Source organism: Homo sapiens, chromosome 19, assembly GCF_000001405.40.
Source record: "Homo sapiens chromosome 19, GRCh38.p14 Primary Assembly".
In the NCBI taxonomy this organism is placed as follows: Eukaryota; Metazoa; Chordata; class Mammalia; order Primates; family Hominidae; genus Homo; species Homo sapiens.
This window is the reverse complement of record NC_000019.10, coordinates 1,095,949-1,110,189: the sequence shown is the minus strand read 5'-3', so window position 1 is coordinate 1,110,189 and position 14,241 is coordinate 1,095,949. Positions and strand designations below refer to the sequence as shown.

Genomic DNA, 14,241 nt, shown 5'->3' with positions numbered 1-14,241 from the left:
CAACCAGGCTCCCACGATCCCCCACAGCCTGCTTGGGGTCACCCAGCACCTGAGCAGCCCCCAGGCTCCTACAATCTCCTCACAGCCTGCTTGGGGTTACCTAGGATCTGAGCGGCCCCCAGGCTCCCACGATCCCCCACAGCCTGCTCGGGGTTACATAGGACCTGAGCGGCCCCCAGGCTCCCACGATCCCCCACAGCCTGCTCGGGGTTACCTAGGACCTGAGCGGTTGCCAGGTTGGGGCCCACGTGCACCATCCCCACGCTGGGCCAGGTCAGGCCAGGATCCAGGACACCCTCTCCTGTGCTCTCGGGGGGTCGTCTCTAGGGTGCGCCCCGGCTACGGGACTGACCCTGGCCCCAGCCCACAGTCCCAGGCCTGGACACCACTTACCCTCCACCCGCCCCCCTAGACCTTGCTCCCGGTATCGAGGAGATCTACGAGGAGAGCCAGCAGGTGTTCCTGGCTCCCGGGCACCCGCAGGACGGGCAGGTGGTCTTCTACAAGGTCAGCAGGAAGCCCCACAGCCCCTCACACTCTGCCCACCCCGCCCCCACCACACTCACACCCCCCCACCCCGTGCCGTGGCAGATCAGCGTGGACCGCGGCCTGAAGTGGGAGGACGCCTTTGCCAAGTCGCTGGCGCTGACGGGCCCCTATGACGGCTTCTACCTCTCCTACAAGGTGGGGTCGGGCGGGGTTACCCCCCCAGAGGAGGGCCCGCGGGGGGCGGACCGGGGCGCGGCCTCAACGCCCCCCTCCGCAGGTCCGCGGTAACAAGCCCAGCTGCCTGCTGGCGGAGCAGAACCGCGGCCAGTTCTTCACGGTGTACAAGCCCAACATCGGCCGGCAGAGCCAGCTGGAGGCCCTGGACAGCCTCCGCCGCAAGTTCCACCGGGTAGGCGGCCGCCGGGCGCAGCTTTCGCTCGGGTTGCCGGCCCTGACCCCGCCCAGGCTCATGCGGCCCTGTGTCCCTAGGTCACCGCGGAGGAGGCCAAGGAGCCCTGGGAGAGTGGCTACGCTTTGTCGCTGACGCACTGCAGCCACAGCGCCTGGTGAGGGCGGGCCGGGGACCAGGGGGAAACCGGCAGATGGCGGCGACCCAGGCGGGGATCGGGGGCTCCCGAGACCCTGAGAGGAGGCGGGAGATCTCAGGGCACCTGGGGAGCCTGCGGGCCCCTGGGACCCGCCTGAGCCGAGACGACCCGTCTCGTCCGCAGGAACCGGCACTGCCGGCTGGCGCAGGAGGGTAAGGACTGCCTGCAGGGGCTGCGGCTGCGGCACCACTACATGCTGTGCGGCGCGCTGCTGCGCGTGTGGGGCCGCATCGCCGCCGTCATGGCCGACGTCAGCAGCAGCAGCTACCTGCAGATCGTGCGGCTGAAGACCAAGGACAGGAAGAAGCAAGTGGGTGAGTGGGCGGCGGGCGCCCCGGGAAGGCCCGAGCCCCCAGCGCCGGCCCTGACCCCGACGCTCTGCCCGCAGGCATCAAGATCCCCGAGGGCTGCGTGCGCCGGGTGCTGCAGGAGCTGCGGCTGATGGATGCGGACGTGAAGCGCAGGCAGGCGCCCGCCCTGGGCTGCCCCGCCCCGCCCGCCCCGCGCCCGCTGGCGCTGCCTTGCGGCCCCGGAGAGGTGCTGGACCTCACCTACAGCCCCCCGGCCGAGGCCTTCCCGCCGCCCCCGCACTTCTCTTTCCCGGCGCCGCTGTCCCTGGACGCCGGCCCCGGCGTCGTGCCGCTGGGCACCCCCGACGCCCAGGCCGACCCTGCGGCCCTCGCGCACCAGGGCTGCGACATCAACTTCAAGGAGGTGCTGGAGGACATGCTGCGCTCGCTGCACGCGGGGCCGCCCTCCGAGGGCGCGCTGGGGGAGGGCGCGGGGGCGGGGGGCGCGGCGGGCGGTGGTCCCGAGCGGCAGAGCGTGATCCAGTTCAGCCCACCCTTCCCCGGCGCCCAGGCTCCTCTCTGACACGCCTTTAGGCGAAACATGCCCCAAGACACAGGGACCGTTTCTCCCCTAGGAGCAGCGGTGGGGAGCAGGGCCAAGGTCCCCTGACCACTGCTCAGAGGAGCCCTAGGCCCTGGCCGCAGTGCCTTCAGCGCCCGACCCGGGCCCCCACCTGGTCAGCCCTGGCGGGGCCCACTCAGGACAGCTGGGGGCCGGGGCGTGGCAGGGCCCTCTCTGTGCCTCTCCTCCCAAGTAGGAAGGGGCTCCGGGTGGCTGCTCTGGGACTGGGCACCCACAAGGGCTCAGTGGGCCCAAACCCTTGAAATCCGTGAAACCGGGTGGTCCCAAGAGCTAGAAACTCAGGAAACCCCAGGTGCTCAGGGCCCCGCGTCTCGGGGGCTCCGTGGGGCAGACCCCTGCTAATATATGCAATTCTCCCTCCCCCAGCCCTTCCCTGACCCCTAAGTTATTGCCCGCTCACCTCTCCCAGGCCCCAGGCCGCGGAGCTGGCAGGGTGGCGCCTGCGGTTTCTATGTATTTATAGCAAGTTCTGATGTACATATGTAAAGGACTTTTTTAAATATATGTGCCTTTTGCCTACTTCCCACGGAGTCTGCTCCTCAGCCTGTGGGACAGGGAGGGAAGGGCAGGGGTGTGTGGGCATCCCCCCAGGCTCTCCTGGTTACCAGGCCTTTCTGCCCACTGCCTGTGCTGGCCCCATGTGGATGAGAGGGGACGAGGGCTGGGAGAGACAGACCTCTCAACCCAGTGTCTGGGGCAGGTGCCATGGACCGTCCATTCCACAGACCCCCAGTGGGGGCAGCTGGGATCAGCCACCCTGGCAGGCTGCAGTCCCTCTAGCTGTGCAGGTGGGCAGCCAGGCCGTGTCCAGACAGCCCCCGGGTCCCATGAACGGTGGCTGGTACTGCTCTACCAGCCCCTCCTGGCCTGTCCATCCCCAGCCCTCACGGAGGGACTCTGTGCAAACAGTAACCACCCAGCCACCCCCACACCCCCCAGCCAGGTGAGGCCCCAAGGGCCGGTGTGGGTGCCCAACCCATCCCCAGCACCAGGGCCACGCTGTTCCTCGGGCCTCTGCACTTCTGCTTCCTGGCCAGGGGAGGCCCCAGTAGCCACCTCCTAACAGTTAAGGCCCGGGGCCAGGAAGCACAGCCACTTAGAATTATCTCCTCCAAGACTCGGCACTACACCAGGCCCTGCCTGTGCACAGCAGGTGGGGCTGCACGGATTAAGAGCCAGGGCTGGGTGTCCAACGGGCCCAGATCTCACTGCACCCCAGCACTGCAGCCAGCACAGCCCCCCGAGCCTGGAGGAAGAGGGGGCAACAACACGCCACCTCCATGGCACCCCCAGCCTGGCAGCTGACGGCAACTGGCCCTGACATGGAGGGGCCCCTGGCAAAAGGGCCCCCCAAGCCCCTACGCAGAAAGATCCAGCAGGCTAATTTGTCTGTTTATTCCCACAAGGTAGCCAGGGGTGGGGGCGCCGAGCCAAGCCCAGCAGGCCATGGGACCTTCCTCCGGCGGGGTGCACGCTGGATTTTCGGGTCTGCCCCACCAGCAGGTTTGCAGGCAGGCCGTCATGAGTGCCGGTGGAAGGCTCCAAGGGCGTGGGCAGGGGCTCGGGCGGGGCCACACACTTGTGGAGCTAGAAATAGTGGGGCAGGTCCTTCTCTATCACCTGTCGGGGAGGAAAGCTGGGTTAGGGCAGCTACCTCCCAAGCCCCCGAGCCTCAAGCGGGCTCCCTAGAGAGGACCTACCAGGGGCTCCTCCATGGGTCCGTAGCGCTTCACCACGCAGCCGTTCTTGTCGATGAGGAACTGTGGAGAGACGGTGTCCAAACTGTGGGGCCACCCCTGCAAGGGGCTGAGGCTGCCCTTCCTGTCCGCTGCCCATCTGGGCCACGGCTGTGGCCAGGGGAAGCTGGTCCCCTACCCCCCACAGCCCCCTTACCTTGGTGAAGTTCCACTTGATGGCACTGGAAAAGAAGCACATGGACGTGAGCGTCCCCAGCAGCCCCCCACAGTCCCCAAGCTGTCCTGTCTCCAGGAGGCCACAAGGGTGTGAGCTTCCCCGGCTGCCTCCACAGCCACAGTGCCCCCAAGCCCCCCCAGAGCCATCTTACCCCAGGAGGCCATGCAGTGTGAGAGTCCCAACAGCCCCCCACAGGCCCCCGAGCCATCCTGTCCCCAGGAGGCCACAAAGGTGTGGGCATCCCTGGCTGCCTCCACAGCCCTCTATGTCCCCCTGAGCCATCTTACCCCCAGGAGGCCACGCGATGTGAGAGTCCCAGCACCTCCCCGCAACCGCCCCCCGAGCCATGAGCCATTCTGCCCCAGGGAGGTGTGAGCATCCCAGCAGCCCCCCCACCCCCACCCCAGCAGCCGTACTGTCCCCAGAGGTCACGCACTTTCCCAGGATGCCCTTGCCCTTGGGTTGGATCTTCATCCACTTCCACAGCGGGTGGGCGTCGTCCCCGTTCACGCAGATCTTGCTGAACATATCGAATTTGACGTTGTAGCCCGCGGCGAACTCTTTGATCTCTTCGTTACTCCCTGGCTCCTGTGGCGGCCAAGGTGTGTGAGTGAGTCGGGGGCTGGCACCCCCTCAGTCCGGGCCCCCTGCACACTCCCAGGCCCTCTCCAGGCTGGAGCCCACCCCGACCCCCACCCACCCGCCTCTGCGGGCCCCGGGGACGCAGCAGCCCACCTGCTTCCCGAACTGGTTACACGGGAAGGCCAGGATCCGCAAACCACACTCAGCGTATCGGGCGTGCAGGTCGACGAGCTGAGTGTAGTTTACTTCGGTCTTGCCTCACTGGGAGGCCACGTTGGTGACGATGCACACGAAGCCCCTGCGAGGATCGGCGGCGTCAGCGCAGAAGAACACGGCCCCCTCCCAGGGCCCGACCCCGCGCCCCACCCCAGGCGAGCGCCCACCGGTACTTGTCCAGGTTAACCATGTGCCCGTCGATGTCCTTGGCGGAAAACTCGTGCATGGAGCGCGCACAGCGCCAGTCGTCCCGGGACGCGCACTGCAAGGCAAAGGAAGCTGAGCAGGGAGCGTGGACGGGAGGCTGAGCCCGGGACCCTGAGGCAGGAAGGGATCGGGAGCGGGTCGGTGGCGGGGACACCGAGGCCCTGCGGCCCTGAAGACCTGAACGCTCCTCCTCCTTAAACGCACACGCCCCCTTGTACTTCTGGTCCGGTTTTACCGGAGACCCGGAGGCCGGGAGAGGGTTCCAACCCCAAAATGTGCCACATTAGCCGGTGTGGGGGCCCCGCGCGCACCGGGTCCTGGGACTTGGGACATTCGTGGATCTCCGGTCGCAAGCTGCGGGGACAGGGCTTCTTCCGCCGGCGCCGCGCCCTCCTGCGCCTGCACGCTGGGGCCTTCCGCCGCCGAGGGGCTCGCGGCCGCCGCCTGCCCCGGCTCTGGCACCGCTGCCTGCGGCGCCCGGGGGAGCCTGCGCCCGCGCGGCCCATACCCGCCCGTCTCCCGCCCCTCCTGGCTCCCCCACCCCGAGCGCCGCTAGCGGGGACAAAGGGCCCGGAGGCCGTAGTCAGGACTGCGCGACTGTGACGCCACCGCGCTAGGCCAAGGTGCGGGGGCGGGGCGGCGCCCGGGGGCGCGTGATCCGGGATTTCCAGCCCTCCGCGCCCCCAACCGCTCGGGCGCAGCAGCCCCGCTCGGCCCGGAGACGCCCCGCCGTGGCCCTCAACGGTCCAGCTCCGCCCCAGCCGTCCCGGACCCCGCCCCCTGCAAGCCTGGACCCCCGACCCCGGCCCCGGCACGCGCGCCTGCAACGGCCTGGACGGCCCCTTCCCCGACCACGACCCGCGCGCGTGGAACAACCCCTTCCCCTTCCCCGACCCCAGCCCGCGCGCCTACAACGGCCTGGAGGGCCGCGGAGCGCGTCGCAGTACGGTCACCCGCGTCCGTGCCCGGCCGGGGGTGGGGAGGGGGAGCCCCCAGACGCCCCCCACCAAGGTCACTGGAGCCTGAGGGTTCCCCACGCCGGCGAGCGGAGGCAGGGATCGCGCGCCCGCCCCAACGGTCACCGGGCCGGCAACGGCCGCGGCGCTAGCTCACCATGGTCCCGGCCAGGCCAGGCGCGGCCAGAGCCCCACAGAGCAGCGCCGGCTTCAGTAGGCGGCAAAGGCGGCCGAGGCTCATCGCGGCGGGGCTGGGAGCCAGCGGCTCCTCCCCTCGTCCAGCCGACCAATGGACGCGCGTCGGCTTTCCGCGCCTCCTTTCCCACGGCCACGCCCTCCAGAGCGCTCATTGGTCAGACGCGTCGGTGTTGAGCGCTCGCGCCGACGTCAGCCAATGGGAGGCCGGAGTGGGAAGAAGGCGGGGAAGGGGGGGCGGGACCGGACGTGCGGACTTGTTGTTGGCGACTGCGCATGCTCGCTTGTGTCTAGGAGGCCGTGGCCTGGCTGGCGGCGCGTCGGGAGGCAGCGCAGTTATCCGGCTGGTTGACAGCAGCGCGGCCGCAGGCCAGACAACCTGAGAATACTACTTAAGACTCGTCGAGGGGGTTTGGTTTCTCCAACTCGCAGAAAAGTGTCCCCAACTCTTATTTACCTTTTTTTTTTTAAGACACGGGGTCTTGCTGTGTTGCCCAGGCTAACGTGCAGTGGCACGATCAGGGCACACTGCAGCCTCGACCTCCCAGGCTCAAGCGAACCTCCCGTCTCTGCTTCCCGAGTAGCTGGGACAACAGGCTCATCCACCATTCCTGGCTAATTATTGTTTTGTAGACATGGGGGTCTCGCTATGTTGCCTAGGCTGGTCTCAAACTTCTGACCTCAAGTGATCCTCCAGCCTCAGCTTCCCAAAAGTGCTGGGATCACATGCGTGAGCCAAAGGCTCGGCCGGGATTTGCCTTTTTTTTTTTTTTTTTTCCGAGACACAGTTTTTTTGCTCTTTTGCCCAGGCTGGAGTGCAGTGGCGCTATCTCAGCTCACTGCAACCTCCACCCAGCCCCCGGGTTCAAGCGATTCTCCTGACTCAGCCTCCTGAGTAGCTGGGATTACACGAGCGAGCCACCACACCCAGCTAATTTTTTTGTATTTTTAGTAGAGACGGGGTTTCACCATGTTGGCCAGGCTGATCTCGAACTCCTGACCTCAGGTGATCTGCCCGCCTAGGCCTCCCAGAGTGCTGGGATTACAGGTGTGAGCCACCGCATCCGGCCAAGGGATTTGCCTTTTTAATGTAAATGAAACCAAACTGAGTTGGGTTTGCTTCTCATCACAGCTCCATCTTATGGGGGTGTCCCTACCCTCACCCCTGCCATGGGCGCAGGGGGTCAGTGACTCCCCATCCTGGGTCTGGTTGCTGAGCCGCTTGTATAATGTGGGCACTGAGACCTGAGAGTCATCAAGACAGTTACCACTTAACTGAGAACCTGGAGTTTCCTGGGCTCCCACCCCCAGGGGCAGCTGCCCACGCAGGGACGCGCGGTATGTGCTCAGAAAATAAACACAAGTCTGGAGGGTTTTCTTACACTTCTAACATTACAAGGTATGGGCACACCCGAGCCCATACTGCCCCACATCTTGGCTTCCAACTCTGTTTTTCACTTCGTGGCTTGGACATGTGGCAACAGAAACACTCATCTCATACTTGGGAACTGAGTCACCGTGATTGGACTTTGACCCCTGTACAGGCAGGGGTTTGGATTTTTTTTTTTTTTTTTGAGGAGTCTTGGTCTGTCACCCAGGCTGGAGTGCAGTGGCTCCATCGCAGCTCACTGCAACCTCCGCTTTCCGGGTTCAAGTGATTCTCCTGCCTCAGTCTCCTGAGTAGCTGGGATTACAGGCATGTGCTACCACGCCCAGCTAATTTTTGTGTTTTTAGTAGATACGGGCTTTCACCATGTTGGTCAGGCTGGTCTCGAACTCCCGACCTCAGGTGATCCGCCTGCCTCGGCCTCCCAAAGTGCTGGGATTACAGGTGTGAGCCACTCTACCCCGCCTAGGTGCTTGGGATTTGTATGTTGTCCTCAAGGTCTTAACCTTTTCTGACCCTGCACTGAGTATTTCTTCAGAGACAGACTCAGGGCCGGGTTGACTTGGGGGGTGCTATGAGCCTGCCCCCGCCACTGCCCCCGACTCAGGCCTGCCAGATGCAGCACAGAGGCGTCATGGATGGTTTGGTGGCAGAGGCAGTGAAGCAAGGATCCCTGAGCAGGGCTGGCCGAATCCTGGTCTTGCATAAGTCTGTTCACATGGCTTTGCTCCCGCCCAGCCCCTAGAGGCTGAGTTCTTGGAGTCAACTCCCATTGTCTGACTTCTCAGGAAACCCCCCCATTTCCTCCCGCCCTGGCAGTGCCGGGTGACAGGGCCACACTGGTGACTCTGTTCTTGCCCTTGCGAAGGCTCAGCTGTTCGCAATTTTGCCGGTGTTGTTTTCCTTAAGTTTGTTGCAAACATGTGCACTGAAATGGGAGTTTATTTCAGGGTTGCCAGAAAAACAGCTCAGCACCCACAGCTCCGCGGAGAGACTTGATCCCATTCCTGACTTCCTGCCAATTGTGATAAAGTCAGAAGTGGGGAAAACACGGGGTCGCGACCTCGGATCTGAGAACGGGGCCCCAGGCTCTGGGAGAGATTTGTGCTGGGGGCTTCACAGCTTTTCCCAGAGTGTCCCCATTTCACGAACGGGGAAATGGAGTCTCGGGGACCTCTCAAGGCTCCAGCCCTGTGAGGGCGGAAGTTCTTGAGTGTCCCTGCAGGAAGCTGTGTTGCCACATATCTTTCTAGAGCAGCCCCTGGCTCCAGGAAGGACTGGGGAGGGGCTGTCCTGTGGCTTCATTTCTTTTTTAAGATCTTTTTGGCCAGGCATGGTGGCTCACACCTGTAATCCCAGCACTTTGGGAGGCTGAGACGGGCAGATCACGAGGTCAGGAGATCGAGACCATCCTGGCTAACACGGTGAAACCCCGTCTCTACTAAAATTACAAAAAATTAGCCAGGTGTGGTCGAGGGCTCCTGTAGTCCCAGCTACTACTCGGGAGGCTGAGGCAGGAGAATGGTGTGAACCCGGTAGGCGGAGCTTGCAGTGAGCCGAGATCGCACCACCGCACTCCAGCCTGGGCAAGAGAGCGAGACTCTCCGTCTCAAAAAAAACTTTTTGGCTGGGTGCGGTGGCTCACATCTGTAATCCCAGCACTTTGGGAGGCCGAAGCAGGCGGATCACCTGAGGTTAGGAGTTTGAGGCCAGCCTGGCCAACATAGGGAAACTGTCTCTACTAAAAGTACAAAAATTAGGGCCAGGCATAATGGCTCACGCCTGTAATCCCAGCACTTTGGGAGGCCAAGGCGGGTGGATCACGAGGTCAGGAGTTCAAGACCAGCCTGACCAACATGGGGAAACCCCATCTCCACTAAAAATACAAAAATTAGCTGGGAGTGGTGCCGTGCTCCTGTAATCCCAGCTACTCAGGAGGCTGAGGCAGGAGAATTGCTTGAACCCTGGAGGTGGAGGTTGCAGTGAGCCGAGTTCGTGTCACTGCACTCCAGCCTGGGGGGATACAGCAAGACTCTGTCTCAAAAAAAAAAAAAGTTTTTGAAATTCAAACAAAATACATATGAAATTCAACATTTTAACACTTCAAAGTGTACAATTCAGTGTTTTTAGGACGTGTACAATGTTATGAGACCATCACCTCTATCTATCTAGTTCCAGAATTTTTTTTTTCTCTTGAGACAGAATTTCGCTCTTGTTGCCCAGGCTGGAGTGCAGTGGCACGATCTCAGCTCACTGCACTGCCACCTCCCAGGTTCAAGCGATTCTCCTGCCTCAGCCTCCCAAGTAGCTGGGATTACAGGCGTGCGCCACCACACCCAGTTAGTTTTGTATTTTTAGTAGAGACAGGGTTTCTCCATGTTGGTCAGGCTGGTCTCAAACTCCCGACCTCAGGTGATCCGCCTGCCTAGGCCTCCCAAAGTGCTGGGATTACAGGCGTGAGCCACCGCACCCAGCACAGAGTATTTTCATTGTCCCCAAAGGAAGCCCAGACCCCATCAGCCTTCACTCTCCATCTCCTCCCCTAGGACCTGGCACACACACATCCCCTCCTGTCTCTGTGGATTGGCCTGTCCTGGACATTTCATGGAAATGGGATCACACACTGCGTGTTCTTTTGTGCCTGGCTTCTCTCACTGAGCATGAGGTCCTCAGGCTACATCCACATTGTGGCCTGTGTCAGAGCCTCATCATTCCTTTTCATGGCTCAGAAATATTCCAGTGTGTGGAGGGATCACATTGTGTTTATTTATTCATCTGTGGATGGACATCTGGGGTTTTTTTTTTTGAGACAGAGTCTCACTCTGTTACCCAGGCTGGAGTGCAGTGGCGCAATCTCAGGTCACTGCAACCTCCGCCTCCCAGGTTCAAGCAATTCTCCTTTCTCAGCCTCCTGAATAGCTGAGATTACAGGCATGCGCCACCATGCCCGGCTATGGGCTGTTTTCTCTTTTTGAGTTTGTAAAGCCGTACAAGTGTTTGTGTGGGCGTATGTTTTCATTTCTCTTGGGTGTATGCCTAGGAGTGGAATTGCTGAGTCATATGGTGACTCTTTGTGTAACAGTTTGAGGATCCACCAGACTGTTTGTTGTTTTTTTTTTTTTGAGATGGAGTTTCACTCTTTTTGCCCAAGCTGGAGTGCAGTGGCACGATCTCGGCTCACTGCAACCTCCACCTCCCAGGTTCAAGCGATTCTCCTCCCTCGGCCTCCCAAGTAGCTGGGATTACAGGCCTGCACCACCATGCTCGGCTAATTTTGGTATTTTCAGTAGAGACGGGGTTTCACTATGTTGGCCAGGCTGGTCTCGAACCCCTGACCTCAGTTGATCCGCCTGCCTCAGCCTCCCAGAGCGCTTGGATTACAGGCGTGAGCCACTGCGCCTGGCCGACCAGACTGCTTTCTATAGCGGCTGCACCATCTTACATTTTCACCTGCCCTGTGTGTGGATCATGGCCTGACTTCCGGGCCTCTGGCTTTGCTGTTATCATCCAGGCCGCCCCTGGCTTGGGCTCAGCCTCTCAGTCCACCCCTGCCCCCAGATTTGCAGGTCACTGCTTGGTCTTTACTCCAGATGCCCTTTCTTGTGTCATAAAATCCACTCCTGAGGCCTGTCCGTCTCCTGACCCTCCCCGCCCCATGTATCTGCCCCACATCTCCAATTCCTCTCCTCCCTCAAATCCGTCCTGCCAGGCACTGGCCCCCTTCCCTGAGTCACAAGCAATGTCTGCTAGGCGAATCCCTGCTCAGTCCTCAGGCTGACTTGGCGGTGGCATCACATAGCCACTCCCTTCCCTCTGCCCCTAGACACCTTCCTCACCAGGTTTCCAGGAGACCTGGCAACCTCCTGCCCTTTATCCTATTTAGGGAACACTTATGCAGTGCTGGTGTCAGGCGCCACTCTGTGTACATTGCAATTATTAGCCAATTACCCTACGAAGTGGGTGCTGTTCTTGTCCCTGTTTTACAAGGGAGGGGAGAGGGGACGCACAGAGAGGTTGAGTAACCTGCCTGAGATCACACAGCCAGGTCTGCAGCTCAGGGGCTGCTCCAGTGTCTGTGCTGAGCCTCCCTCCCCTCCTGCTGCTGCCTCCCCTCCTTCTCCGGGCTTCTGAACACCAGCAGGGCTGGACTTACTCTCCTGGACTCTGCTCTGCTCCCAGGACCTGGTCCAGGCTCCCGGCTCTAATCTTCACCACGTGGCCACCCTGCCTGCACGTCCATCCCCCAGACCTTGCCCTGAACTCCAGAGCTCACCTCGACCTACACGCCTCCACCCTCCCACCCCTCTTTTCACTGCTCACAGGGACAGCTTTGTTCCCTTTCTCCCTCTTTTTCTCGCCCTGTGGCACCCTCCCCGCTCTGTGCTTGCCCCTACCGTAGTTGGAGCCACCCCAACCTGTGGCAAGTTTGCCTTCCCACTCCCTCCCTGGTCTCTTGCTTCTGCCCTGGCTCCCAACAGTCATTTCCCAACACAGCAGCTCCAGACATTTTACCCTGACCAGCAAGGCTTCATGGGACCTGCCCCACCTTGCCCTCTGACCCCCTCCTGCCCCTTCCCTGCCAGGAACACTCCAGGTGAGGCACAGCCCCAGAGCCTCTATCCTGGCTGTGCTGTCTGCCTGATACAGCTATCCCCAGGCAACCCCAGGTTTCCTCCCTCTCCTCTTCTGGTTTTTGTTTGTTTTCTGTTTGTTTGGAGACAGTGTCTTGCTCTGTCGCCCAGGCTAGAGTGCAGTGGCGCAATCACAGCTCACTGCAGCCTCAACCGCTGGGCTCAGGCGATCCTAGATCTTCCCACCTCAGCCTCCCGAGTAACTGGGACTACAGGTGCGCCCACCACGCCCAGCTAATTTTTAAATTTTTTTGTAGAAATGGGGTCTTCCTGGCCGGGTGCGGTGGCTCACGCCTGTAATCTCAGCACTTCGGAAGGCCGAGGCAAGCAGATGATCTGAGGTCAGAAGTTCAAGACCAGCCTGGCTAACATGGTGAAACCCCATCTCTACCAAAAATACAAAAAAATTAGCCAGGTGTGGTGGCTCACGCCTGTAATCCCAGCTACTCGGGAGGCCAAGGCAGGAGAATCCTTTAAACCCAGGAGGCGGAGGCTGCAGTGAGCTGAGATTATGCCACTGTACTCCAGCCTGGGCAACAGAGCGAGACTCGGTCTCAAAAAACAACAACAACAACAAAAAAGAAATGGGGTCTTCCTATGTTGCCTAGGCTTGTCTCAAACTCCTGGCCTCAAGGTGAGAAAGAAAAGTTAGGTAGTTAGATAAGAAAGCCTGCACAGACCGGGCGGGGTGGCTCACACCTGTAATCCCAGCACTTTGGGAGGCCGAGGCGGGCGGATCATGAGGGCAGGAGATGGAGACCATCCTGGCTAACACGGTGAAACCCCGTCTCTACTAAAAATACAAAAAATTAGCCGGGCGTGGTGGCAGGTGCCTGTAGTCCCAGCTACTCGGGAGGCTGAGGCAGAAGAATGGCGTGAACCCGGGAGGTGGAGCTTGCAGTGAGCCGAGATCCTGCCACTGCACTCCAGCCTGGGGGACAGAGCGAGATTCCGTGTCAGGAAAAAAAAAAAAAGTAGCCCCTGACAGCCCCCCAAAAAGAATCTCAAATATCAGTGTAAAAAAGTCCGTGACTTACAACTAAAAATTACAAAACTACAACAAAGGGATCCTCCCCTCTCAGCTTCCCAAAGTGCTGGGATTACAGGTGTGAGCTATCGCGCCCAATGGGATTTTTTTTTTTTTTTCTCGATGGAGTCTTGCTCTGTCACCCAGGCTGGAGTGCAGTGGTGCGATCTCGGCTCACTGCAACCTCCGCCTCCCGGGTTCAAGTGATTCTCCTGCCTCAGCCTCCCGAGTAACTGGGAGTACAGGCACCCACCACCAAACCTGGCTAATTTTTGTATTTTTAGTAGAGACAGGGTTTCACCATGTTGGCCAAGCTGGTCTGGAACTCCTGATCTCATGCTCTGCCTGCCTCGGCCACCCAAAGTGCTGGGATTACAGTGATGAGCCACCACTGCTAATGGGATTTTTGCTTGAATCTATCCTCACTGTATTCCCTGACCTCCCCATGTGATACTGCAGTTCTCCCATTCTCCCCATGTCACTTAGCCTCCCTGCTCTTTCTTCTTCCGTAGCTTTGTCACTTTCTAACGTTGTTATTTATTTTATTTTATTTCATTTCATTTTATTTTTGAGACAGAGTCTTGCTCTGTTGTCCAGGCTGGAGTGCAGTGGCACGATCTTGGCTCACTGAAACCTCCACCTTACAGGTTCACGAGATTCTCCTGCCTTAGCCTCCTAAGTAGCTGAGACTACAGGCACCTGCCACCTGGCCCAGCTAATTTTTTGTATTTTTAGTAGAGACGGGGTTTCACCGTGTTAGCCAGGATGGTCTTGAACTCCTGATCTCATGCTCTGCCCGCCTCAGCCTCCCAAAGTGCTGGGATTATAGGCATGAGCCACCGCGCCCGGCCACGTTATTTATTATATTTTACTAAATCCTGTCTTTATCTGAATGCAAGGGATACTTGGCCTGTTTTATTCACCATCACTGTAGGTTGCTGAGTAAATGTTGAATTAACGAATGCATCACTGAATAAGTTACTGATAGCCTGCACACAGGAAGTGTTGGGCTGGGGTTCTCCGTGAACCTGGGGAAGTGAGGAGGTTTGCAAAGACAGGAAGAGTCTGGGGTGGGGAGATACCCAGGCTAGGCTGG

At 60.3% G+C, this 14,241-nt stretch overlaps 2 protein-coding genes across 8 annotated transcripts in view, besides 11 other annotated features; one reads left to right on the top strand and one right to left on the bottom strand.

The window, feature by feature from the left end:
- Positions 1-2,552, top strand: part of SBNO2 (strawberry notch homolog 2) — a 66,631-nt gene extending 64,079 nt beyond the window's left edge. For 3 of the 4 annotated variants that reach the window (NM_014963.3, XM_047438466.1, NM_001100122.2), the window contains 6 exons: positions 413-507; positions 592-684; positions 767-898; positions 979-1,055; positions 1,221-1,411; positions 1,486-2,552. In NM_014963.3, the coding sequence (NP_055778.2) occupies positions 413-507; positions 592-684; positions 767-898; positions 979-1,055; positions 1,221-1,411; positions 1,486-1,970 (1,073 nt within the window). In that variant the 3' untranslated portion in view covers positions 1,971-2,552. The remainder of the gene's footprint in view (positions 1-412; positions 508-591; positions 685-766; positions 899-978; positions 1,056-1,220; positions 1,412-1,485) is intronic. The other variant, XM_011527804.4, reaches the window with a different exon arrangement.
- Positions 2,894-3,770: an enhancer, noted in NCBI's record as "H3K27ac-H3K4me1 hESC enhancer chr19:1106419-1107295 (GRCh37/hg19 assembly coordinates)". NCBI's record gives its function as "activates a minimal SCP1, AML or CMV promoter by ChIP-STARR-seq in primed H9 embryonic stem cells {active_cell/tissue: H9 hESC(primed)}" and the evidence as "EXISTENCE:reporter gene assay evidence [ECO:0000049][PMID:30033119]".
- Positions 3,179-3,348: an enhancer, noted in NCBI's record as "active region_13589". NCBI's record gives its function as "activates an Ori minimal core promoter by ATAC-STARR-seq in GM12878 lymphoblastoid cells {active_cell/tissue: GM12878}" and the evidence as "EXISTENCE:reporter gene assay evidence [ECO:0000049][PMID:35858748]".
- On the bottom strand, positions 3,411-6,196 carry GPX4 (glutathione peroxidase 4). Of its 4 annotated transcripts, none has more exons than NM_001039847.3 (7): positions 6,063-6,196; positions 4,910-5,004; positions 4,680-4,824; positions 4,381-4,532; positions 3,924-3,948; positions 3,731-3,812; positions 3,411-3,650 (listed from the first exon to the last, which is right to left on the bottom strand). In NM_001039847.3, the coding sequence occupies exons 1-7, from the start codon at positions 6,144-6,146 to the stop codon at positions 3,550-3,552; spliced, it is 684 nt and encodes a 227-aa protein (NP_001034936.1). In that variant the 5' UTR covers positions 6,147-6,196; the 3' UTR covers positions 3,411-3,549. The 4 variants fall into 4 exon arrangements, with proteins under 4 accessions (NP_001034936.1, NP_002076.2, NP_001354761.1 ...); NM_002085.5 differs by having other exon boundaries at positions 3,731-3,790; NM_001367832.1 differs by having other exon boundaries at positions 3,731-3,790; positions 6,063-6,133.
- Positions 5,361-6,380: a silencer, noted in NCBI's record as "silent region_9665". NCBI's record gives its function as "represses an Ori minimal core promoter by ATAC-STARR-seq in GM12878 lymphoblastoid cells {active_cell/tissue: GM12878}" and the evidence as "EXISTENCE:reporter gene assay evidence [ECO:0000049][PMID:35858748]".
- Positions 6,391-6,470: a silencer, noted in NCBI's record as "silent region_9664". NCBI's record gives its function as "represses an Ori minimal core promoter by ATAC-STARR-seq in GM12878 lymphoblastoid cells {active_cell/tissue: GM12878}" and the evidence as "EXISTENCE:reporter gene assay evidence [ECO:0000049][PMID:35858748]".
- Positions 7,073-7,152: an enhancer, noted in NCBI's record as "active region_13588". NCBI's record gives its function as "activates an Ori minimal core promoter by ATAC-STARR-seq in GM12878 lymphoblastoid cells {active_cell/tissue: GM12878}" and the evidence as "EXISTENCE:reporter gene assay evidence [ECO:0000049][PMID:35858748]".
- Positions 7,173-7,222: an enhancer, noted in NCBI's record as "active region_13587". NCBI's record gives its function as "activates an Ori minimal core promoter by ATAC-STARR-seq in GM12878 lymphoblastoid cells {active_cell/tissue: GM12878}" and the evidence as "EXISTENCE:reporter gene assay evidence [ECO:0000049][PMID:35858748]".
- Positions 7,253-7,622: an enhancer, noted in NCBI's record as "active region_13586". NCBI's record gives its function as "activates an Ori minimal core promoter by ATAC-STARR-seq in GM12878 lymphoblastoid cells {active_cell/tissue: GM12878}" and the evidence as "EXISTENCE:reporter gene assay evidence [ECO:0000049][PMID:35858748]".
- Positions 8,112-8,646: an enhancer, noted in NCBI's record as "H3K4me1 hESC enhancer chr19:1101543-1102077 (GRCh37/hg19 assembly coordinates)". NCBI's record gives its function as "activates a minimal SCP1, AML or CMV promoter by ChIP-STARR-seq in primed H9 embryonic stem cells {active_cell/tissue: H9 hESC(primed)}" and the evidence as "EXISTENCE:reporter gene assay evidence [ECO:0000049][PMID:30033119]".
- Positions 9,759-9,896: a silencer, noted in NCBI's record as "fragment chr19:1100293-1100430 (GRCh37/hg19 assembly coordinates)". NCBI's record gives its function as "represses an EF-1alpha promoter that drives an FKBP-Casp9 reporter gene in an ReSE screen in phorbol 12-myristate 13-acetate-treated (for megakaryocytic differentiation) K562 erythroleukemia cells {active_cell/tissue: K562(+PMA)}" and the evidence as "EXISTENCE:reporter gene assay evidence [ECO:0000049][PMID:32094911]".
- Positions 10,472-10,551: an enhancer, noted in NCBI's record as "active region_13585". NCBI's record gives its function as "activates an Ori minimal core promoter by ATAC-STARR-seq in GM12878 lymphoblastoid cells {active_cell/tissue: GM12878}" and the evidence as "EXISTENCE:reporter gene assay evidence [ECO:0000049][PMID:35858748]".
- Positions 10,672-10,791: an enhancer, noted in NCBI's record as "active region_13584". NCBI's record gives its function as "activates an Ori minimal core promoter by ATAC-STARR-seq in GM12878 lymphoblastoid cells {active_cell/tissue: GM12878}" and the evidence as "EXISTENCE:reporter gene assay evidence [ECO:0000049][PMID:35858748]".